This window comes from Homo sapiens, chromosome 12 (genome assembly GCF_000001405.40).
Source record: "Homo sapiens chromosome 12, GRCh38.p14 Primary Assembly".
NCBI lineage: Eukaryota > Metazoa > Chordata > Mammalia > Primates > Hominidae > Homo > Homo sapiens.
In genome coordinates this window covers 128,380,623-128,406,466 of record NC_000012.12, presented here as the reverse complement: position 1 = coordinate 128,406,466, position 25,844 = coordinate 128,380,623, and the positions used below count along the sequence as shown (strand labels likewise).

The 25,844-nt window shown below is 46.1% G+C and overlaps 1 protein-coding gene and 1 pseudogene across 3 annotated transcripts in view, besides 3 other annotated features; both read right to left on the bottom strand.

The window, feature by feature from the left end:
• The window catches only part of TMEM132C (transmembrane protein 132C), a 440,742-nt gene that overhangs the window by 301,445 nt on the left and 113,453 nt on the right, over positions 1 to 25,844 (bottom strand). The window lies entirely within an intron of this gene.
• On the bottom strand, positions 7,945 to 8,059 carry LOC124903115 (uncharacterized; annotated as a pseudogene).
• Positions 21,643 to 22,613: an enhancer, noted in NCBI's record as "NANOG-H3K4me1 hESC enhancer chr12:128868399-128869369 (GRCh37/hg19 assembly coordinates)". NCBI's record gives its function as "activates a minimal SCP1, AML or CMV promoter by ChIP-STARR-seq in primed H9 embryonic stem cells {active_cell/tissue: H9 hESC(primed)}" and the evidence as "EXISTENCE:reporter gene assay evidence [ECO:0000049][PMID:30033119]".
• Positions 22,614 to 23,585: an enhancer, noted in NCBI's record as "OCT4-NANOG-H3K4me1 hESC enhancer chr12:128867427-128868398 (GRCh37/hg19 assembly coordinates)". NCBI's record gives its function as "activates a minimal SCP1, AML or CMV promoter by ChIP-STARR-seq in naive and primed H9 embryonic stem cells {active_cell/tissue: H9 hESC(naive and primed)}" and the evidence as "EXISTENCE:reporter gene assay evidence [ECO:0000049][PMID:30033119]".
• Positions 24,433 to 24,934: an enhancer, noted in NCBI's record as "NANOG hESC enhancer chr12:128866078-128866579 (GRCh37/hg19 assembly coordinates)". NCBI's record gives its function as "activates a minimal SCP1, AML or CMV promoter by ChIP-STARR-seq in naive H9 embryonic stem cells {active_cell/tissue: H9 hESC(naive)}" and the evidence as "EXISTENCE:reporter gene assay evidence [ECO:0000049][PMID:30033119]".

Here is a 25,844-nt window from a genome sequence, read left to right as displayed (position 1 = left end):
GTAATTTTATATTTGTTTGTGTGCATGTTTGGTTAATGACCATCTTCCCTAACAGACTGGAAGCTCCATGGGAAAAAGGATAGTGTGTTTATCCAGCAGGGTACCCTTCTGTCTTGAATACCATGTGACTCAGTGACGACTCATTCAACACTTGAGGAATGCATCAAGTTTGACCAATAGCCCAAACATGAAGCAAGCCAGATGGGGGACGAAGCCACTTCACACAGCAGTAAGGTGTACAATGAGGGAAAATGTAGACACCATTTGCTGGAAGGCAGAACTTCTCACGTGTGGTAGGAAGAATTGGAGCCAATGTCCATGGACATTCTGACATCCAGTACCAGGGGATGGCAACCCTCTGCAGCCATTCAGTGTCAGTGCATCAGAGGTGTTAAGGAAACTTCACCTTCATGTAAGTACCTTCTTTGCCTCACATTTGCATACTTTTAGAGCATATGGTCACCCAGAAGTAAACTAACAATTGTTGCAGCAGACAAGAACAATCATTCCTTTCCCCAGTAAAATAATGCACTAGCACCTGTCCATGGGGGCTGCTGAGAATTTATCAAGAACTTCTTGAGTACATACATGCCCAAGACTGCCTAGTGCAGCTCTCTGTACACAGAGCTTTCAACTGAGGGTGGTGTTTCCTAAGCTTCACACCTCCCTCAATCTCATGACATGAACCAGATAATGTATGCACTGTTAATCAGTCCAGGAGCTTACTAATAATTGATAACTTCATAAATTAAAATTGTAATAAATAATGTACTAATATAAATGAATAGTTCTGTTTAAATAATCTCACTGTAAATAAAAAACCAAGGTCACATCCCCTATTTGCTGCCTGTCTATAGCTCTGAGCCATAGTTTGCCATTTCTTTGTTAAGCAGGGAGATTATCAAGTGTTGGTTGCTGAAGATACAGCGGCTGCAAAATGAGATTTTCTCTTAGATAGACTCAGAATAATTCAAATAATTAAGCAGGAAATTCCCACTTTCTCATATGGTTGAACAGGCGATTTTGCGCCATGTCCAGGAACCTCCAACAGCCAACCACAGAGGTGCCCACATGAACGACTCCTCGACGAACCTGTGCAGGGTCCATCTGCACCCACACAGGCTGCAGCACCCTGTACGCTCCCTAAACTTACCTCTCATCTTGGGAAGCCCAGAGGTAGCAGATTAAGGAATCATAAGTGGTTGCCAGCCTTTGCCGTGTGTTTTCTCCCGGAAACGTTATCTCCTGACTGCAAGGAAACAATTCCAGGGCTGCCATGGCATTGCGAGTTCTGACAAATGTCTTTCCTCTTACTCCAGTTCATCTGCTTGCACCAACATCTCCCAGAAAGATAGGATAATTGAGTCATTTTTATTGACCTGAAACAATACCCCTGGAAAAGTCCAATGCTGGTTTCCTACGGCCACGGGAGACAGCCTGGAGAGCAGGTGACAGCTGCACCTGCCTATCTGGCCTCCATGTGGACAGCACGTTCATTGCTGTCTCCCTTCCTGTTTATCCATTTTCTTTATCTGTACCTGCCTGTCAGTGTTGGGGATATTGTGTCCTCCACCGGTTGTTCATCGGAGAACTCTACCACAAAGCTGCAGTCAGAAATTGAGTTTTTCAGATTCTGAGATGGTGGACACCGGAGATGGCCACGTCACTCAGTGCCCAGACAGGATAACACTGGGAGAACGAGCCTTTCCACTAACACGATGCACTGCTTTCATCGCAATGCTCACTTTCAGACGTGTTGACCAGGGATGGATTCTTTAGAGCTGATGTTCTCTGGGCTGGGACATAAAGGATGGTTAGGGCCTGAGGAGGTTGAATGGAATATGGCAAGGCCACGTCACTCAGTGCCCAGACAGGATAACACTGGGAGAATGAGCCTTCCCACTAACGTGATGCCCTGCCTTCATCACAACGCTCACTTTCAGACATGTTGACCAGAGATAGATTCTTTACAGTTGATGTTCTCTAAGCTGGGACATAAAGGATGGGTAGGACCTGCGGAGATTGAATGGGGTACAGCAAGAATTCTAGGATGAAGAACAACATAACCAAAAGATTGGGGAGGGAAAGCTCAGAATCCCAGCATGTGAGGAGTGGGAAGTCTATCCAGGCAGATGGGATGAAGCCAGGGGTTATTCTAAATGGGGTAGGCAGTGGATGCCCACAAATATACAAATATGCCCACAAATATAGTATTTTTACTAGGTCCTGCTTCCCTCTTGAATTGGATAAAAATAAAAATAACATCCCCTGAAATAATCCACAGGCACAAGTGGAATTGTTTTAGGGTGTGCAAGGGGCTTTCAAGAACAGCATCTAAGTCAGGGTTAAGGGTGATTTTCTTGAGAAACACTTGGTGACGTCTGCAGACATTTTTTGGTTGTCACAACTGGGAGGGGGCTGTTATTGACATCTAGTCGGTAGGAGCCAGGGATGGTTCTAAACATCTTACAATGCACAAGACAGTGCCCCCACCACAAATAATTATCCAGCCTACAATGTCAATAGCACTGAGGTTGACAAACCCTGATCTAACTTGATCCACATAGAAAGCCTGAGGTAGTTTGTCAGATATTACATACATAGGAAGAAACAGGGGAAGGACTTTAATCAAAGCCTTCTCCAGCCCAGAAAGAAGAAATGTATCACAGTGGTTAGGAGTTCATGGAGTGACACGAAGTTCAACAATGAATCCTTGTCCCACAACTTCCTAGATGAGGATTTTGTTTTGTTTTGTTTTTGTCTTTTGGAAAATACCTTAAACTCTTGAGCCTCAGAATTCTCATGTCGATGATGGGAATCACATAAGACCGCCTCACTTAAAGCAATAAACTAAGCACTCAGCATGCTTAACAATTGGGAATTGTTGTTGCTATTATCATAATCATTACCATTATTTCAAATGTGTTCATCAGTTATAGTAACAAGCTTTTAAAACTACAGAAATGTTGGGGGTAAGGGTGATATCCACATGCGAAAAAAAAATTGGGTGATGTCTACGTGAGAAAGAAAAATCTGAAATTAAGGGAAGTGGGCTCTTTTCAGGACTTTGGAGGTGTCTCCTGCATCAGACATCTCTGGTTTACTCATATGATATCAGACACCTGCAAAACAGGACTTGCCTTTCTCCATATGCCTCAAGGAGAGCCCTGACTGGATTTTCCTTCCAAGTCACTGCAGCTTACTTGAAACACAAGCAAGCCTGAATATTTTTTCCTCTCTCCATTGGTGATTTATTAACATTCCCCAGACACAGAATGTCTCTCTCTCTGCTAAATATGGCTCATTGTTTCCTTTTTATTGAAACAAAAGGCACCTTGATAAATGGATTATTTGATTTCAATGCCTCTTCTGAACAAAGCCTGAATATCCTTTGCTGAAATTACATAGCGCGGTTTGCAATTTCGTAACCGTCAAGCTCTCCTTTAAAAGAGCAGGTACTTATATTCCCCTCTGAGCCCCTGGGGGGATAGTTCCCCCCTTTTCTCTGGGAGCGCTCCATAATCACTCTCAGATGCTACTCAGTCAGACTCCTAGAAGTACAGCAAAGGAACTGTGCCTTTCAAAGACGAATGCTCTAAAATCTTCAGAGTCTTGGACTTCATCAGCACAAGAAGGGTGCCCTAGGTAGGCACAGAGGGAAATATTTACCAGGCGAAGTTACAAGTCTAACATGGGCTGCTTTAACTGCATGGTGTCAGTGTTTCCGCAAGTTAAGCTCAGCCAATGGCTTGCCTGGTGGCCACGTGGCCGATTCCTCCACATCCTCCACCTGCCCTCCCCCGCTGACCACCCACAATGTGGCTTGGAACCGAGGTCCGTCTGCAGGTGGGTTCTGATTGGCTCAGGCTGGGGCTCTCCCAGGACAGGTGCTCCTCTAAGGGACGGTGTGTCAGTTTCCTACGCTGCTGGAACGAATTACTACAAACTTAGCCATTTAAAACAACACATATGTATTTTTTCTTTTTATATAGTCCTGGAGGTCAGAAGTCTAAAATCAAAGTGTCACTAGGGAAACAACACACACTGGGGCCTAACGGAGGATGGAGGGTGGAAGGAGGGAGAGGATCAGGAAAAGTTACTAATGGATACTGGGCTTAATACCTGGGTGATGAACTAATCTATAAAACAAACCCACATGACTCATGGCTACCTATGTAACAAACCTGCACATCCCTCACATATACCCATGAACTTAAAATAAAAGCTAAAACAAACAAACAAAAAAACCCTGAAGTGTCAGTAGGGTTGTGATCCTTCTGGAGGCTTCAGGGAAGAATCTGTTCCCTTTTCCATTTTCTGGAGGTCACCTGCAGTCCTCGGCTTGGAGTCTCTCTCTTCTAAGCCAATATCTCGGCAGCTTCTCTCGCCCCTGACTTCCTGTCTCCCTCTACAGGGACCCCTGTGATGACATCAGGGCCACCTGGATGATCCAGGATAGTCCCCCCATCTCAAGAGCCTTACCTTAATCACATCTGCAAAGTTCCTTTCCCCATGCAGGTCACATATTTGCAGCCTCTGGCGATAGGGATGTAAACATCTATGGGGAGGGTGGCATTTTGATTATCACAATGACTAGAGGGAGGAACACCACTGGCATGTAGAGATCACAGCCAGTTCTGCTAGGTTTTCTGCACAGCACGAGACTGTTCTACAACCACAAAGAATTGCCCAGATTCTGCATGACGCTGCCCCACTGGACATTCACAGAGGTGAGGAACCCACTTACAGTGATCCAAGCAAAGAGCCGATCTTAAACATCCACTAAATAACTGGGAGAAGGGCAATGATTCCACATACTGTATGTGTTCCAGAATTGCAACTACTGGGGTGGAGATCAGACTTTGATGAAACTTATCTAAAAAGTCGTTGATCCTTTCCGAAAATTACATCACAATGTCCAATCTGCATGTGAAATGCAACTTGCTCCAACATAGCTATACCAGTCTGCGTCTGTGGCTGACACACCCATGGTGACTCTAAATACAGGAGCAAGTATCTGACTACTTCATTCGGCCTTCTAGATATATCTGTTAAAATATTACTTGACTTTGAATTGTTTCTCCTGCCTATGACAGAGCACTATACTGATTTGTTTTTAATTATGTACATATGAAGGTTATCAAATCAGAGATTTCGTTTCATGGCTCATAAAGGTGAGGGTTGAGAATGATTGGTGTTAATCCAGGGGTTGGCAAACTTTTTCTTAAAGGACCATATAGTAAATGTCTTAGGTTTTTGCAGGCTAGAAGACAAAAATCAACATTCTATATAGGTACTTACATAATCTTTAAAAATGTAAATACCGTATTTAGCTTGCAGCCTGTACCAAAACAGGTGACAGGCTGGATTTGACCCATGGTCTGTAGTTTGCCATTCCCTGGTCTAAATCAAACAGGGCAATTCCAAGCTCATTCCCATTACCTGGTTCAGTTACACATAGGCCTAAACCCGTGATTCTCAGAGGCAGTTTTGCTCCCAAGGGTACATTTTACAATGTCTGGAGATTTTTTCTGTTGTCAAGAATGGGGCTGGGGGGCAGGCAGGTGCGGTGGCTTAAGCCTGTAATATCAGCACTTTGGGAGGCTAAGGCGGTGGATCCCTTGAGGTCAGGAGTTTGAGACCAGCCTGGCCAACATGGTGAAACCCCATCTCCACAAAAAAATGCAAAAATTAGCCAGGTATGGTGGTGCGTGCCTGTAAGCCCAGCTACTCAGGAGGCTGAGTAAAGAGAATCGCTTGAACCCGGGAAGCAGAGGGTGCAATGAGCCGAGATTGTGCCAGTGCACTCCAGCCTGGGCAACAGAGCGAGACTCCATCCCCACCCTGCAAACAAAAAAAAAAAAAAACAAAAGAATGGGGTTGGGGGGCATCCTGTTAGCATCTAGCGGGCAGTCAGAGGCCAGGGATGCTGTTCAACATCCTACACTGTGCAGAACAGCCCGCCCACAGAATTATCCAGCCCCAAAGATCACTGTGCTGGGCTGGGAAAGCCCTGCCCCTGGCCAAACTGGGCCAAGGACCTATGAGGAGAAGTGTGTTAGGACTTCTGGGAAAGAAGGTCCCTCACTCTTAAGCAAACGCCTTTCACCCCAGGGGCCAATGAGTGAGCCAGTCTCCCCATAAATACTGTTATCCATCTGGAATCTATGCATGAGTGCCCAGAGACAAGCTCAGCCACGGGTGGGCACAGTGAGGGAAGGGGCTGTGCTTTTATCCCAGGGGTTGGCCCAGTGAGGGGCCCGGGAGAAGCTCGCCTGGATCTCACCTTGCCGCTGCCCTTCCAGCCATGTGAGCCAGTGGACTTCCTCAGTGCGCGAGGGTTTTCTCTCACTATCAGCCAAAAGCTTCTAAGAGGACACACCTTTCTTGATCCAAACTGTGGTAACTCTGCTTTGCAAGTCATATAAAGAAGGAGTCAGCATACTATTTTCCGTAAAGGCCCAGGCAGTAGATAGTTCAGCCTTCGTGGGCCAAATGGTCTCCATTGCAACTCCTCAACCCTCCTGTGACGCAGCCAGAGACAAATGTAAACAAATGACTCTTTCTGTGTTCTAATAAAACTTTACTTTTAAACACTAGAATTTGAATTTCACATGTCAAAAACACTGCCTCTCTATTAAACAACACTTTTCCAACTATCTAAAGACATACAAACATAAAAAAAAAAAGTCTTAGTTTTCAGGCCACCACACAGAAACTGGTGGTGGGCTGTGTTTGACCCACAGGCCATAGTGTGCGGACCCCTGATAGAGAGGAAGTCTTTCCGAGTCATGTTTCATGCATAGGAGAACTTTCTTAGTGTTTCTTCAGTGCATTTTACAATCTGATTTATAGACCAGGTTTACCTCTTTGATTGAAAATGTAAACATGGTTTTTACTGTGCCTCCAAAACAGTTTGGAAATGGAAACCAAAAAGAAAAAAAAATCTGGAGGGATTTAGAGTTGTATAATACAAGCATTTACAGCAGAATTTAAATATGTGCATTTGCTGCTCACATAGCATATGGTTTGAGAATGTTTCGCTGTATCTATTGAAAGAGAGAGGCATCCATTTATCACAGATGGTGGTATTATTTATGATGGAAACTTACATTAACCCTGAGAGTCCCAATTATCTCAATTCATATAAATAAAAAGGACACCATTCCTGTTCTTTATGATGGCCTTTTTCCTCAAAAATAAAGAGCTTATTTTTAATATAGTCCACATATTTTCTTTCCCACTAATTACAGATAATTTTTAAAAACTTGTGTGTACCAAAGAGTCTTCCGCATTTTTCCCCCACATGTGAGTTTCATCTGCTTGCTAGTTAGCATCTGTAGTTTTGTTTGGTTATACCAGCATTTAGAATGATTATATTAATGACAAGTCTTAGGGGACAAAGTAGAAAATGCTTTCCTGATGGTTGAGTAAACAAAAAGAGAAAAGAATACACCAGAAGATAAAAGCAATTTTCTCTTTCATTTTAAAGCCTTTAACGTGTGAAAAGGACATTTAAACTGAGCTTTCCAAGAGGGAATGGGGAATTATAAGGGAGAATTCTGAAAAGTCAGTGGGGAAAAATATCCGTTAAGTGGAAGGTGAAATCTTTTATCCTTGTGACACCTGGATTATCAAGACAGGAGGAGGACAACAGTAAAACCATCACTCAACACCCTGTTGGTCCGGGTGCTGCATATCATATATCGACTTCTTTGTACTTTCAACATCCCTATGCGTGAAGTATCTTTATTATCCCTAATTTTCACATAAAGAGATTGAGGCCCAGAGAGATTGAGTAATTCAGCCAAGGTCACACAGCTAAGAATTCTGAAATCAGAATTTGAACTCAGGATCCCTGTGCCCATTTCTGCGCTATCCTGTCTCAGAGCACAGGCTTTATGTTATGTATTTTTTAAAATTTTATTCATTTCTTATTTTTCACATCAGACGGGCAACGTGCCAACATCATAACAAGGTCTGAGGGAGACATGTCTCACACATGAGGATGAAAACCTTATGAACTACAAAGGTTCACCCTTATGAACTACAAAAGGACCCAGGCTTTATTTCAAATCCGTAACTCACTCCAGCTCCATTTTTCCCTGCGGAGAGAGAGTGTCAGTCCTTGGTAGACACAAAGGTTGCAGAACTATCACTGGCTGATGCCCAGGTCAGTCTAGAGATGCTGAATGCCAGCTTGCACGTATGTACAGCTAGCATCGTGGAAAGAAAGGTCAGGAGATGGAGCCCCTGAATCCAGCAGTGCCTGAAGCTGGAGGCCCCTGTACTTTTCTCCTCCATGGCTTGAGCCAGGCTGAGATGCCTTCTTGTCATTCTTAACTGACTGATGCTCAGCATCCGCTCTGATGGATGAGGCCTCTGAGCTTATCGTGGTTCTTATTTAATATTGCACCAGCAAGACATCCATCTCGGTCTTAACGTTAATCGGGGGAAAAAAATCAACAGAGGGATAGGATAAGGAATGGTCTTCCCTCCATCAACATTAACTAAGAGGCTTGTCTGTACCCCATGCTGCCTTGCTTCTGTAGGGAGCACACAGACAATTAAACTGTGTTTATCAAACTCGTGGGAGGCTGAGCAGAGGGGAGGTGGCCAGTCGCAATAGGGAAGGGCTCAGATGGGAAGAAGACAGCATGGGCGTATGACATGACAGGTGAGGGCAGACTTGCACCCTAATCATTGTTTAGAAGCAGAAGGTGGCCATGTGAGGAGAGAAGCAGGAGGACTCCACGCTGCAGGAGTGCAAGGTTGGAACGCAGAAGAGAAGAAGAAGAGAAAAGCATTGGGACCCAGGCCTTGGAGGAGGCAATGTCCCAAGGGGAGGGGCGAGTGCAATCCACCTCCATGGGGACCAACTTGTTATTTCAAATTGCAAACCCACAGTAAGAGCAAAAAGCAGACCCACTTTTGCTCTGCTTTATGGTGGTTTGTAAGTTTCTCTATGGAATATAGACCCCCTCGTATGACCTTTCACTGCTGCCTGCCTTGCTACACTGCTGCAGCTGGGTGCTGAAGGCCCCTGACCGTTGCAATTGCTCCAGAAAGATGCACCTTCCTTTGCAAACTCACAAACCACAAAAAAAGGCACTCACAAGGGAGACAGAATGGACCATGTTAGAAGACACACGGCGAAGCCCTAACCAGACCTTTCTCTCCCCTCTGTGGGACCAAAGCCTTCAGGTTAAGCAAACCCTATGGCCCCTGGGCACAGGTGGAGACACAGTATGCTGGAGGAAGGGGGAGAAACCACCTTCTACCCGTGGGGGAGTGGCAGAGAGATGTCCTGAGCCCAACTACTAGAAGGCTCCCCCACCCTGGGGCCAGTGAGGCTGTGGGGAGTAGCTGCCAGGGGTCACAGCTGCTGATGTATGGTGGGGGCACCTGATTGGAAGGCACTGAAGCCTCTGAGTGCCATCCGCTGACCTAAGATGCTCCCTGGTCAGTGGCTAACCTAGGGTCACTCTCACTCCTGGGCACAGGCAGACATGTCTAAGGTGTCCACTGCAGCTTTGCGCCTGATTGGAAATAATAGAAGAGGCTATCCACAGTAAACTGCCTGAACACAGCAAACCCCAGGAGAGAATGCAGTGAAGAAAGAAAGAGAAGAGATACAGAGGATAGGGCTCTGTGGAGAGGGCAGCTCCGGGCCAGCCCACCGGGCTCCAATCACAGCCTGGCCACTTCCTAGCTGTGATGGTGGGTGCTCACTTAGCCTGTCTGTGCCTCTGTTCCCATCTATAGGAGCTTCTTAATAGCACACTCCTCTTGGGACCATTTTGAAGATTCAACAACTTACTAAATACAAAGTGCTCAGTCATGCCTGGCACATGATAGGTCCTCAAAAACATTACCTATTATTATTATTATTATTATTTTACTTTAAGTTCTGAGATACATGTGCAGAATGTGCAGGTTTGTTATATAGGTATACATGTGCCATGGTGGTTTGCTGCACCCATCAACCCGTCATCTAGGTTTTAGGCCCCGCGTGCACTAGGTATTTGTCTAATGCATGCGAGCATTTGTAATTCTCTCTCTTCCCCTGCCCCTCACCCCCACGACAGGCCCCAGTCTGTGATGTTCCCCTCCCTGTGACCATGTGTTCTCATTGTTCAACTCCCACTTACAACTACCTATTATTTTTTTACTATTATTAGGAAGCAGTTGGAAAGGAGAACTACATGTACTGGCATAGAAAGATCTCCAAGAAGTGTTATTGGGTGAAAACTAAGTTACAGAACAATGTCAATTATGTAAAAACAAATAACCACAAGTATTTGTAATAATTATGTTTTCTTTGTAGTTTTTTCCCCCACAGAACTTTAGAGAAACACTACCCAGAGCTTATTCAACGGCTCCATGAACTCACTAAGGACCCCGCATCCATGTATCTTTCTGTACCACCAACTCTACTAAAGGGCTTCATGCCTATGACCACGACAAAGCTGCTACCCATCCAGCCATTGCATCTGAGTTCCAGGAGAAACAAATTAAGGGCAAAATGTCTGTATTAGGTAAGTCTGTTTACTTAACCTTTTTTTTTATTGACTCCGGTAACTCAGTGAACATCAGTTTATATATTCTTCCCATCCTGGCTCATAATTGCACCACAAGGAGGTCTAGGCAGGAGATTGCAGTTGGTCCCCAACTTAGGATACTGCAACGTAGGATTTTTCTACTTTATGACGGTGTGAAAGTGATGCCCGTTCAGTAGAAACTGTGCTTTGAATACTCATGCAACCATTTTGCTTTTCACTTTCAGAACAGCGTTCAACAAATTACATGAGATATTCAATACCTTATCATAAAACAGGCTTTGTGTTCGATGATTTTGCCCAGGTGTAGGTTAATGTAAGTGTTCTGAACACGTTTAAGGCAGGCTAGGCTGAGCTGCGATGTTTCATAGGTTAGGTGTATTAAATGTATTTTCAAACTTAGAATATTTTCAATTTACAATGGATTTATCAGCACGTTACCCCATCATAAGTAGAGAAGCATCTGTGTTTTTAACTGGGCACATTGCCACCTCCAACAAATTTAGTATTCTGTAAGTAAGGAGGGAGGCGAGAGTGGATATTATGTAGATAGTTACCATTATTACACAATTATCACATAAGGAACATATCATTTATGCTAAAACAATTATGTTAAAACAACTATATTGATATTAGTAGTTATATATAATAGTATAGTTTAATATTCTATTAAATTAATTTTAATATATTAAAATGAATGAACTATATATTTAATTAAATATGATTTAGTATTCTGTTATTACCATAAAATATTAATAAATTTAATATAATAATTATGTTACAATAACAAGAAACTGAAACACAACGCTATGATTGTATATATGTCTATATGTGTGTTTGTGTGTAAATATGTACTCACACATATACATAAATGTTTAGAAAAAAATTATAAATAGTAAATCACACTTACAAAAGTGATTACCTAAGAGGAGTAGAAGGGAGATGAGATCTTTGGGATGGTCACATGTGTTTTAGCTTTACTAGATTTTTTTTTTTTTTTGGAAAATAAGGGAGAGTGTACTCACACATTAGCTGTGCAATTAACATGCTGCTTTAAGAGAGTGTCCCTTGGCAACAGAGCTGCTATTACCCGATTTGGCTGGCTGAAAAGAGACCAGATATATATACTATCCCGTGTATGGCTCGTATGGTTTTCCGACAGGTGCACAACACACTTTAAAGGTAGAATTTCTTATTTTTTCCCTACTTGTTCTTTGCTATTCTTAAATATCTATCTTCAAAGAAGAGAAAAGGTGATGCACCTAACATGAATATACGAGCATCCAACATCTCTTAGTTTTCTTCTGTGACAAGAAGGAGTCACTAGATGTTGGGCTGAAGGAAAGGACTTTTTCCTTTGTGAGTACCCAGCAGTTCAGATGGGTTAACCCAAGTTGTGCTTGCTTTACATCTCTGGCAACCCCCTTTTTGTGCCTAGCCATGTTATTAAAAGTCCTTACAAAAGTTTGTTCCCTTTCCTGCCTGTAAAGAAGCCCAGAGAGTACCCAGCAGAGGATGCTGTTGGCTTCCCAGGATCAGTTTTCTTCTTGTGTCTGGAATCCGTATGTTCTTGGGGAATGCCATATGGCTGTCTGATGTGGTTTGGCTGTGTCTCCACCCAAATTTCATCTTGAATTTCCATATGTTGTTGGGGGGACCTGGCGGGAGATAATTGAAGCATGGGGGTAGGTCTTTCCTGTGGTGTTCTCATGGTAGTAAGTCTCATGAGATCTGATGGTTTTTAAAAGTGGAGTTTCCTTGCACAAGCTCTCTTCTTTTGTCTGCCGCCATGTAAGACACGCCTTTCACCTTCCCCCACGATTGTGAGGCCTCCCCAGCCTCATGGAACTGTGAGTGCCTTAAACTGCTTTCTTTTGTAAATTACCCAGTCTTGGGTGTGCCTTTATCAGCAGTGTGAAAACGGACTAATACACCGTCTTTAAAGAAGTGTGTATCTCAGCCTCGCATGCACTTAAAGATGGCTGTGTGCCAATATCCAGGCCGGGAGCTACAAAAGGGAGTTGTTGGGTGGAGCTTCAAGGATAGCACCTTAAAAGGAGCACGGCTGAGTCATCATCAGGTACCTTTGCCCATTCGCCCTTTCTTTTTTGCCTGATTGCAATGCTGATCTGATGCTGGAGATGGAGCAGCCTTTTTGTGACCATGAGGCAAGAAGCTCATGCTGAGGATAACTGAATGGAATAACAGCAGGAACTGGGTCCCCCTTGGCACCTCGAAGCATCATGCCAGCCTAGGCTGCCAAACACAAAACTCCTTTCCTTCAGCCCAGCATCTAGCAACCCCTTCCTGTCACAGAAGAAAGCTAAGAGATGTTGGACGCACATATATTTATGTTAATATATGCCAAACACTGAAATTGGAATATAACCTCCTGCCAAACACGGTGCTATCAAAGACAAAATTGATTCTGCAGCAAAATAAACAAGGGCTGTTAATTCATGAGCTTGTGGTGGTGAAGCCTGTTGTCTGTCATTTCCTTTCAGCAAGGATTCAAGAGTTCTAGGAAGGAGAGTCTATTTTATAGAGTAAAAGAGGAAATCCTGAGACGTGTCTGACTGGCAAGGGTCCCATGAAGTTGGGAATTCTGAAAGTGGGGAGAGACTTTCCAATTGGTCTTCATGTACATTTGACGGCCCTGGATTAGCTGCAAGTGAGCAAGGGGGGCAATTTCAGGATATTTCAAAAGAGGAAGATTGTTCAGTGTTATAGGTTGACTGTGGATCGTCATTTCCTAGAACAAGTAGGGGTCAATAAAGCACTATTTTAAAGCAATGATGCTTAGGACAAGTTGCATGCCATGATAGGCATCTCTCAGGACTTTTTGTTCTGCAAGAAAAATATCCCAACTTTGTTTGAACCACCCATTTTTAGGTTTCTGTAACTAGCAGATTCGCACTGTTTGTGCACCTTGATACATCTATGCCTCAGGTTAGAGACCATCATGCAGCTTTTAGCTAGAGAAACGTATCAATCAAGCTTCTCCAACCCACGGCCTGCAGGCCGCAGGTGGCCCAGGATGGCTTTGAATGCAGCCCAAGACAAATTTGTAAACATTTTAAAAACATTAAGACATGTTTTTGTGATTTTTTTTTTTTTTTTTAGCTCATCAGCTATCATTAGTGTTAGTGTATTTTATGTGTGGCCCAAGACAATTCTTCTTCTTCCAGTGTGGCCCAGGGAAGCCAAAAGATTGGATACCCCTGAAATAATATCCTTTTGTATAAGAAAGTTTGAATATCACCTGTTTGCCTGTCTTTGCTACCCCACCTCCTCCAGGAAGTCTTCTTTGATACCCTTGGCCAACACTGGCCCTTCCTTCTCCCTGTGTCTCCTCCCCATCCTTCACCTGGACTACACACTTTGCTCCTTCATGACGTTCTGGGGTCAGGCTCTCTCACACTCAAATCTTATTTGAGAAACTGGAATAGAAGCTCTTTCAAACCACACTGTGCTCCTCCATGACGTTCTGGGGTCAGGCTCTCTCACACTCAAATGTTATTTGAGAAACTGGAATATAAGCTCTTTCAAACCAGGCAGGCAGTTGAGAAGGAGGAATATGCTTTTGCATCAGGCACGATGAAGGTGCAGTTCCTCACTTGTAAACTCGGCTGCCTGGGCAAGTGGCTCCACCGGTTCAAGCCTTTCTTGATGAATGAAGTGGCAGTGACAACCCACCTCCCCCCAGGAGCTGCTGCAGAGGCTTATTGAAATCCCCACCAGGGTATCTCAAAGCACGGAGCTCCCTGTCTCCATAGAGAAAAGGGTCTGTGTTGCATCCACACATCTCTGAGAGAGAGAGAGAGAGAGAGAGAGAGAGAGAGAAAGAGAGAGAGACAGAGACAGAGAGAGCAGAGGGTGGGGGAGACTGCAAATTTTAATTAGAGGTTCAGGTCATAGATATCAGTGGATAGTAGGTATTTTATGACAAGAGGCAAAATTGAGGATGCTATGTAAGTATTTATGTAACCATTTAAAATGAAACCATTAAAAAATATAAAGACTATTCTTAGTTCGAAGGCCATATAAAAGCAGACGGCAGGGGTTTGGCCCAAGGGTTCTAGTTTGCCAGACCCCTGGTCTAAAGTCTGTGTGGGGACAAAATGCACAGGCTCTGAAGGTTTGTGAATCCTGTTTCTGCCACTTGGCATCTGTGTGACCTAAAGCAAGGAGGTTCATTCTTCGTGCCTTAGTTTTCCTATCTGTGGAATGGGGACAATGATACTAACAATACCTACCTCCTAAGGCTGGTTCATGATGGATAGTTCATAAGGATGAACTATGTCAATGCATATAAAACAATTAAAACAGAATCCAATATGCAGAAAGTGTTCGTTAAATGCTAACTAGGATGGTTCCCTCACCGTGTCTAGCACACAGACCAGGGCTACTTAATCTTTTGCTGGGCTCTGGGGTCCTCGGGGAAAGCTGATGGATATTGAAGGTACCTTTCCTGAGGGGAATACATGTGCCCACTTAACATACACGTGCAAAGGAGGGAGTCAGGGACGCCTCTTCCATCCCACCACAGTGAGCCTCTCACATGAGGTCTGCCCTCAACTCCTGCAAAGGATGCTGAGTAAGTTGTCGGAAAAATGATGAGAAAGGGTCTCCTGGCCTTCAGGCCACTCCTCCAAGGCCATCCTGCTGGCCAGCCGCCAGAGTGGAGTTAGGATTTAAGTGTTAGCACCAATCCTACCGTAGTGGTTCTCAAACTGTGGCATACTGTATGGCCACCACTTGGAGGGAGGGTGACTGCAGGAGTCCCTCCATTAGAGTGGCTTGAGAATTTGCATTTCCAAAGAACTTCTCAGGGCAGTTCTGATGTTGCTGGCCCAGGAACCCCACTTTGAGAACCGCAGCGTTAAGGCATCAGCCTCCACTCACTGGAAGCTGATAAAATGCACCAAGAGGACAGCACACAACTCTTCAAATTACAGCTTCAACATAAAAGCCTGGGAAGCTAGAAGATGATCTGATTCTAAAAGCAACCCTGTATCTGCCTGTGTCTAAAAGCAACCATGTATCTTCTCTCCATGGCCACCACTCAGTCCAGGCCACCTGTGCAGATCACCTGGACAGCGCCACAGCCTTTTCTTGGGCTCCCGGCTTCGCTCTTCCCAGGCTGTGACCCATTTCCCCATTCAGCACAGAGGGATCTTTATACATCAGAAATCAGATTCTGTCCCTGTCTGAACTAAAACCCTGTAGACAGAATAATGTCCCCTCTCCTAGAGAGGGCCTCATCCTAATCCGTGGAGCTTGTGCATACGTAAGTTTGCAGGGAGAGGGAGGCGGAGGTGCGGCTACAGGTGGAGGCAGGTGGCCAGTCGGCTGATAGTAAGCCAGGAGGATCATCCAGAGTGACTGGGTGCTCCCCATGTAACCTGGGGTTCTTAGAGGTGGAGGAGGGAGGTGGCAGAGGAGGCTGCAGGGATGCAAAGTGAGCAGGACCCACCCACAGCTGCCAGCTCTGCAGAATAGGGAAGGGGCCAGGAGCCAAGGTACATGGGCACCTCTAGAAGCTGGAAAAAGCAGGGAAACGCATTTGCCTCCGGAGCTGCCAGGAGGAACATAGCCCTGCCAGCACCTTGCTTTCTGCCCGCTGAGGCCCATGGTGGGCTTCTGGCCTCCAGAACTATAAGGTAATCAATTCTTAATATTTTTAAGCCAAGAAAGTTGTGGCGCTCCATTACAGTAGCCCAGAAAACGAATAACCTGCCGGGTGTGGTGGCTCACACCTGTAATCCCAGCGCTTTGGGAGGCTGGAGTGGGAGGATCACTTGAGCCCATGCATTTGAGATCAGCCTGGGCAAAAGAGCAAGACCCCATCTCCGTGAAAAAATTAGCTTGGCATGGTGGGGCATGCCAGTAGCCCAGATACTCAGGAGACTGGGGTGGGAAGATTGCTTGAGCCCAGGAATTCAATGCTTTAGTGAGCTATGATTGCGCCACTGCACGTCAGCATGGGTGACAGAACAAGACCTTGCCACACACAAAACACAATGAAACAATACAAAACAGAAAAGAAAACTTAACCCTTCAGCAGCTTCTCTTTGAATAAAATCTAAGCTTCTTAATGCGGTGAGGGCTGGGCCTTAATTGGCCTGTGTCTACCTGGATTCATCCAATGCCCCCTACTCAGTGTGCCCCTGCCTTTGGCCACATAGACCAGCATGGAATGTTTATGCCAACTCAGAGGCACAGGGCTGGCCATGTCCTCTTCTTGGATGCTCTTCCCCAAATCCTCATGGAGGCTTTTCATGATGCAAGTGCTCCCTCCATGATCAACACATTGGCTGAGCACCTACTATGTGCCAGGCTCTGTTCTGGGTGGCTGTGAATAAAGCAGAGTTCCTGCTAGCATGGTACCTATGTTCTGGTGGGAGAAAACAGAATGCAGGCATGCGGTGTTGGGTGGTGTTGAGCTCTCTGGAGAAAGATGATGTGCTCTGACAGAAGCCTACTTCCTGACCGTCCCAGCGGAAGCAGCTCTCACCCCATCCCTATCTGTCCCCGTCTGTCCCCATCCACCTCCACTGCACTGTCTTCATGGCTCCTCCTGCTATCTCCAAAATGATCTTTGTTTTTTGCTGTTTTCTTTGCTTAGTGTCTCTCTTTTCCTACTAGACTGGGCAGCCCAGGAAAGAGGGACTTTATCTTGTTTGTCCCCAGTGCCCAGATCAGTATCTGGAATTTGGGCGTGCTTACTAAGTATGGAATGAATGAATGAATGAATGAAGTAGGAACAAAGTAAAGGAGTTAGCACCGCTTGGAGCTCAGGCTGCCAACCCCCTGGGTACCCCGGACTCATTTCTGCATCTCGCCAGGGTCTCTGGTCTTTGTCTCTCCCAGGGGGACTCTTGCAGGGTGTGAAGGTAGCCACAGAGTCTGGCAAAATACAAACTGTCACGGTCTTCTGTTGCCCGCACAGACTTCTTTTGGAGCAGCCTCCTGTGAATTCAGTATCTGGTATGTGTTTAGCCAGCTGCCACTGTTTTCCTCAAGCTACGTGTGAAACCAACACTCTGTTAAGAAGTGGAAACAAGATCCTCCCCGTTATTGCATCAAAACTAGGGCAACCGAAATAAACAACACAAAATCAGCGCCCGGAAGTGGAGGGAAGGAGTGAAGCCAGCCGGCGTCAGCTGCACAGAGCACACGGCCCAAGCCTCCTTGGAGGATGATTGTACCTCTTTGGGGTGGCCCCCACAGCAAGGTGATGGCAGGGCCTGCGGGGCCCTCTCTCACCCGGAACACATGCTCCCAGCCCAGTGCTGGTCCAAGCTGGTCAGAGGCTGCGGAGCTCAGACTCAGCGACACCTTCTCCAGGGAAGCAGTCTCAAACTCTAGGCCCAGGGGGCCTCACTGGCCCTCAGACAGTTTATTGCACACACAGCAGTTAAAAGAATGACAGAGAGGCAGGGAGAGAGGGAAGAGAGAAGAGACAAGGGGAAGAAGAGAGGGAGGGAAGATGCCACTTCTTTAAAATTAGAGACAGCACATAAAAACTGAGATTCTTAGTTTCTTTAGAAAAGTTAAGATTTGGGGCAACAGCAGGCTGGATTCGCTGCCTGGCAGCCATCGGCTGGAGTCAGGGAGGGGCCGTCCCTTGGGTCTTCGGATCACCAGAGGCCCCACCTGGCCGCCCTGGCATTCCAGCCCTGCCTGGCCCTGTATTCTCTGGGTTGGCCACGCCAGCCCAAGAAAAGCCTCTTCCTCTCTCCACACTGACACCACGGATCCCAGAAGAGGAAGCCACTGGCCCAGACGCTTTTCCTGGGCTCGGGCTCTTGGAAGTGGAGGGATCCCCTGGGTGAAATAGAAGCCCTGGCCTCTTGGGACTAAGTCAGACCCATACAGGAACCTGCCGGCCAAGGAGCCAGTGGACATTTCTAAGCTCTGCCACCAGAGGGCGGGGAAGGGCACAGGTGACGGCCGGGCACGGCTGCCCAGGAGCAAGCTGGGTCTGGGGTTCCTGGAGCCAGGCAGGGCGACTCCCGCCTGCACGGGCAGCTGGCCTGCACAAACACCCACGTCTCCACACACAAAAATTGCCTCCGTGATTTTTGTCTTTCTTTTTAGACAGATTCTCACTCTGTTGCCCAGGCTGGAGTGCAATGGTGTGATCTCTGCACTGCAACCTCTGCCTCCTGGGTTCAAGTGATTCTCCTGCCTCGGCCTCCACAGTAGCTGAGATTACAGGCCCCCACCACCATGCCCAGCTAATTTTTGTATTTTTAGCAGAGACGGGGTTTCATCGTGTCAGCCAGGCTGGTCTTGAACTCCTGACCTCGTGATCCACCCGCCTCGGCCTCCCAAAGTGCTAGGATTACAGGTGTGAGCCACCGTGCCCAGCTGATTTTTGTTTTTCATCATAATGAATTGAGAACAATTTGGTTCCTTAGAATTGCCGGAGGAGTCTACAATGGAACTCAGTTACTCAAAGCCTTGCAGGGCAAAGCACTGGGTGTGCGGTTCCCTCCCAGGCACAGGTTTCCCAAGCCTGGTGCTCCAGGTGGACAGCCAACCAGAGGCATCCACACCTCCTGGTGCAGAAGCCCCAGATCTGGGGCAACCTCCACGCCAGCATCCCTGCTAGAGGTAAGGCTCAGCTCAGGACAGCATGCACACATGCTTACTTGTCCTGCGGGTTCCCGAATTGGGGCTTTGCTGAGAGCTTTGCACAGCACAACCCACTGCATTCCCATTCCCAGTTTTTAGTTTCTTTTTTTTTTTTTTTTTTTTTGAGGCAGAGTCTTGCTCTGTTACCCAGGCTGCAGTACAGTGGTACATTCACGGCTCACTGCAGCCTCGAACTCCTAGGCTCAAGCAATCCTTCTGCTTTAGCTTCCCAAGTAGCAGGGACCACAGATGTGCATCAACCATGTCTGGTTAATTTTTTAATGTATTTTTATTTTTTGTAGAGATGTGGGTCTCACTACGTTGCCCGGGTTGGTCTCAAACTCCTGGCTTCAAGGGATTCTCCCGCCTCAGCCTCCCAAGGTACTGGGATCACAGGTGTGAGCCACCACACTGTTCCCATTTCCAGTTTTATCAATCACATCTTCATTCACTCAACAAATACTGAGCATCTACTACGCATCAGGACCTGATCTAGCAGAGCGAATGTAAAGCAAATGTGTCCCCTTTCTCTGCCTCAATGTCCTCATCTAAAAGATGGGGGATAAGAATGAAACCTACTTCACAGTGTTATCAAGAAGATGGGAGGACTTAACGCCTGTCACACGTGTAGAACAATCCCAGCCCAGAGTGGGTACTGCCACGAGATCCCTGCTGTGGCATTTCTATTTTTATTTCTCTTATTTCCTCACTTATCTCCTTATCCAGCCTTCTTGCCCCTGAGTTAATTCTCCACAACCATGAGACCAGGCAGGGTCTGGGTTTGTGGAAGGAGGGATGAGGATTTGGGGAAGCCCAACGGAAAGGGAAAATGTGGAGGGAAGTTTCTGCAGGGACAGCCACCTCTGTGCCTGTGCCCCTGGAGGGGGAAAATCAGGGTGTCTCCCCTGTGGTTCAAAGGCAAGCGTTGGCCCTTCCATCAGTCTAGAAAATAGAGGGTTAAATGTTGGCGAAAGAGAGAAACGGTGCCACTTTCAGAGGCCCACCTGTCAGGTCTGCTGGATGGGTCATAAATGAACATTCTGAGAGGGGTACGTGGGCAGGAGCAAATGAATAAAAGGCCACCTCTGATGAAAACACATCTGGCTAAGGAGTGGCTTTCAGAGTTCTGATGGGGAGGCACTTTCTGCCCATAAAATTCCGAATAACACACAGCCTCATTATGCGTGTCTTCTAGGTCTAAGTGTGAGGGGGTCCTACCAGCAACCCCTTTGAGCCAGCGAGAACCAAATACTTCGTGAGGGGCTGTTCCAGGGGCCATAGCCCAGCTCTCTGTGGGAGCACTGTGATCAAGAGGTAGCCTTCACCCCAAGTTCAGAGTAGGCAGCCGGCTTGGGAGATACAAGCCCTGTCCACCAGCAACTCATGGAGCAGACAGCACCCACGTCACTGGTGTATGACTCTCACTTGCGGCTGCGGCAAATCAGAGCCGCAGATCAAATGTCCTTCCCTAGTTATTTTTGATGGGTTGTGTTTTATGCAACAGAGGTTCAGTTAAGGACTTATACCCAAATTGAATTTCTGACATTTCCTCTTTAACTTTTTAACTTCAGAGATGGTTTCTCATTTCCTTACTCCCTGTTCTCCTCCAATGACTTAAAGGATGCTAAAATGGATCTTTAACGTATCCTGTATAAAGCAGAGTCATGATTTTATACATACTGCAGACAAAGCCCACGGGCTCAGGTCTCTTATAGCGGCCCTCACATCAGTTGAAAACGGAAACATTTTAGGGGCAAAAGGAAATGTGATCATCATGTGCCATGTATCAGGCTCTGTGCGAGGACTTGACGTTTATGTCTCGAATCTTTGCAATGATCCTATCAGGCTCTGTGCGAGGACTCGGCGTTTATGTCTCGAATCTTTGCAATGATCCTATCAGGCTCTGTGCGAGGACTCGGCGTTTATGTCTTAAATCTTTACAATGATCCTATCAGGCTCTGTGCGAGGACTCGGCGATTATGTCTCAAATATTTGCAATGATCCTATCAGGCTCTGTGCGAGGACTCGGCGATTATGTCTCAAATATTTGCAATGATCCTATGCAGCAGGTCTCCTTGCCTCCATTCCACAGATGGGAAGAGGGAGGCTGAGACCATAACCAAGTCTCCAGTCACACAGGATTTCAACACAGACCCATGTAAATTCCAAAGCCGAGCTCTTCTCATCACGCTGTTGCCATCCGAATCTGCAAAGGGGTATGACATCCCATAAAGTTCTCGAATATTTTGAGACAAAGGGACGAACACCAAGACAGGAGGCTGGACTTTGACAGACGTGAATGTGAAGATCACAGGTGGCCGTGAAGGCTTTAGGAGCCCGGAGAGGACCACGTCCTGCGTGGCAGAGGCCTTTGCAGGGACTCTATTTACATGGCATTTGGCATGAGGCTCATTATGTCTCAGTGTGCGCATCTTTGAAGGGAGGGTTGGTGGATACTTACTTGAAAGTAGAAGGTAAAGTCCCCTCACTAAGCCAGCCTTTAGTGCCCCACTGTGGGAGGTGGATTTGGAGCGGACAGAATATTCACTCACTGCATGAGGCCTGATGAAGTGGAACAAAAAGTTTCTAGAAATACATGTAAAAATCAGAACTGAACAAGACTGATCCAACCCTCTGACTTCCAGAAGCTTTAGTGGAGCCTAGGAATGGAGTCCCCAACACAGTGGCCTCACCAAAGGCCATAAAAGAGCCATCCGACCCACCATCACGGGCTTGCTTTGCTTTGAATCCTGGAAACTTTGCTGCCAGACCTTGAACATGAAAACAAAGATCCCTCCCCTAAATGGGGTTCTTAAAACCTCTTGACCCTTCTTCATCTGATAGAAACCAAATGGTACAACCCTGCCTGCCGTTGTCATCGAGGCTGGGGATGGCACAACTGCTGGAGGAGCCACCCCTCCAGAGCCCCTGCCCTGGGAGCTCCTACAACCCACGGTTTCTTCTGCAGGGAGGGTGCGCCCCCAGATCTTTTCCCATCCTGTGGCCCATGCTCACCACCTCCCAAACCAGTGACTTATTTGATCCACTTTACTCTCTAAATTGTCTCCTTTGTCTGTCAAGAAGGAGAAGGTCAGACTTCAGCTCCTCTAATGATTGACGACGGGTTGCCCACCTGACTCTTCCCTTGTCCCCTTTTCTGGAACCTGACCACCTCTTTTTGTTTTGTAGGATTTGTTTGTTTGTTTGTTTGGGTTTCTTTGGTGGTAGTGGAGCTGTTTGTTTTTGTTTTGTTTTTAAACTCTGCAGCTTAGCTAAAACGCACCCTTTGGCATTAGCCATAGGGCCACAGTAGGCCAGCTAAACAGATGCAGTTCTCTTAACAGTTTAAAAAGCGTCGTTATGTAGATAATCCATAACTATCCTGATATGGAAGGACTGCTCAGTAAGAGAGTGGCTACACTACGAGGATTCCTGGAAGCAGAGCAGAACTTTGCAAGCCGTTAAGTAAGCAAAATGGCTTAGCCTTTTCCCTCCCTGGGCTTCTGATTCCTTACTGCATTAATGGTGTCTTTATGGGAAAGTACTCGCCTGGAAAAACTCATTCAAGCAAGCTCCAGAAACACCGATGGTCCCCTGCCCTACAAAGACAAGGACTGGGGAAGGGGAAATAGAAACCCCCTGGGGGCGGAGAGAGAAATTCCGTTTGAACTTAGGAATGATAAGATGATTAGGACAACAGGGGGGCTTTGTGTCATTAATCTGACCTGCTTTATCTTGCCCTGAATCCCGGGACACCCAGGGATTCCCAGTCGGATGCCAGAGCCTGAGCACCATGGGAAACGGCTCAAGCATCCGTCCCTGAGGACAGGTCGACTCAGCACGGCTGCGAGCTCCTTAGCACCCGGAGCGTGTTTCCACGTGAAGTTGATTTCACTGCTTGTGGAAGTGAATTGGCCAACGGGCGGTTGGCCATTGCGAAAGCTGAAAATGCATCCACCCCTTGCCCACTTCTAAGTTCCTGCCCTAGAGGAATACACAGACATGCACGTATATACACAGAGCACAAATACACAGACATGTGTATATGCTCATACACACATGTACACAGGGGTGCACATGCGCACACACTGACACACATGCACAGGTGCACACACATACAGGCACACACCTAAACAACTGCATACACACACATGTATACACATGTACACACAGATGCACATGCATACAGACTCATACACATACATACAGATGCTCACGTGCACACACACAGACATGCATACACACAGATACACAGACGCACTCACAGATACATACAGACACAGAGACAGACCTGTACACACACACATACATACACACACACCCACATACACAGATTCACACACACAAATATGCACACATACACAGATACATATATGGTACACACAGCACAAACACACACATACTCAGATACACATACATACTCAGATATACATACCACATAACACTCAGAAACATAGACCAAGAGGATCACTCTTTTATGTGTTTTAGCAGAAAATTAGAATATCTGTTCTTCTGTCAATAGGAGAAAGGTTAAAACATGTATTTATTTATGTAAAAGAATACCACGGAGAGTTGAAAGGAAGACTCTAGAAACAAGAATGGTGACATTCTTATTACTGAATCATTATTATTAAAGCTGGAGGTTGGGTGCATAGGAATAGGATCCTCTCTTTTTATAGATGTTTGAAAATTTCCCATCATAAAAAAACAATAAAAAGAACGACCTAGAGCTGTGCTACCATCCAACACTGAGCCATTAGCCACATGTGGTTATTGATATTAAAATTAACTAAAATTAAAAATTCAGTTCTTTGGTCACACTCGCCATGGTTCAAGTGCTCAGGGGACATTCCCATTATTGCAGAAGTTCTATCAGTCAGCGCTATCTCGATCTTTGATGTCTGGGATCTTAAAAATACCTTGTGTTTTTATCACAAAGGAAATAATATTCCTACAGTGGCAGTCTGTGCAGTACGTCAGTATGATAGCATTTATATAACTTTTTAAAACTCAGGGAAAAAAATGCATTTTTCTGTGAGCACAAAGCTGTATGTACACAATACGTGAAGGGTCCGGGAGCTCGTGCCAAGCTCAGAACAATGGCTTCTTTCGCCTAAGGAGAGGCTGAAATATTACAGAGCGGCAGTGGGTGGCTGAGCCATGGGGAATCAGCTTCGCCATTAAAGTATGAATGTATTATTTGTGTACCTAAAAAAAAAAAAAAGCGAATAACAAAACCAAAAATGGACATCCCTGGGGGAGGAGTGTTGCGAAGGGTCTTCAACGGGACAAAGAGAAGGAGGTGAGAGGGCAGAGTGTATCCGAGACGGTTTCCCCTTTGCGGGGTTGTCTTCCTCTTAAAAGCAAACTCCCCTTTTCCTCTTAAGAGGTTGCTAGACTGCCCACCGCTTTTCATTGCTGACAAAAAGCAAGGGAAGCTTCCGAGAAGTGCTTCTCTTTGAGCCACTGAAGTTTGTGTCTTGCCACTGGCACTCTTTCAAGCCGCCAGATGCCGTCCCCCTCAAAGCTGCTCTTTGTGGAGGGTATTAAACCCCGGCCAGCCTCCCAGCTGGGACAGCTCCCTCTACTCTGCTGCAGCCCAGTGACTGTGCCTTCCGATGGCATCTTCAGAGCAGCGATTCCCGCAGGAGACCCTAGGAGCCACTCCCTAGGAAGGACTGAGCAGGCTTCCTCTCTCACGTCCATAGGTTTGCTGGTCGGTTATATTATTATTAAGCCCTTTCAAAAGAGCAGCCACAACTAGCTAAACTGAGTCCTCTGTAAACACTCAGATTCGATTCTAGAAAGCCGCTTCTCCCTGAAGACCGGCTCCCAGGGTTGCCACGTGTGTTCGGCATGGACAACTTTAGTTTCCCAGGAGAGGCTGTGGGAAATGAATGGGACAAGCTTCACTCTCCTACTCTGCTCCACCAGATGGATTCACAGTCAAGCCCCATCATTTGTGGGATTCTGTATTTGCAAATCCACCTACTAGCTAAAGTCCATCAGTGCCCCTGGTACTTTCACGGGCATTCCCCCAATAAGGCGGTGCAGAGACAGTTTTGAGTGGCTCAAAGCACGTTCCTACCTGAGGTCAAATATGCCCGCGTTGTACTGTCCTGCTTCAGCCACGATACTACATATAAGCAAGTGGCCTTTCTGCGGTCCTTGTAATTTCATGTTTTTGGTCTTCTGTGCTTTCTTTTGGCGATTTTGCTGTTTCAAACATCCCCTAAGTGTAGGAATAAAGCACTGTCTAGTGTTCCTAAGTGCAAGAAGGCGGCACTGTGCTTTACAGAGACAACACCTGCATTCAATCAGCTTCCTTCAGGCATGAGTTACGGTGCAGTTGGCCATGAGTTCAATGTGAATGAGTCAACAATATGTATCTAATCAGGTGTCTTTAGACAGAAAAATGCATATAATCAGGTTATGCATTAATCCATTGATGAATATGTTATGACCAGAGGCTTGTAGGGACCTAGCTCTGTACTTCCCTTAAAACACTCTTTTTTTTAAAGAGATGGGGTCTTGCTGTGTTGCCCAGGCAGGTTTGCAAGTCCTAGACTCAAAGCCATCCTCTTGCCTCAGCCTCCCAAAATACCAGGATCACAGGTGTGAGCCACCATGCCTGGCTTATAT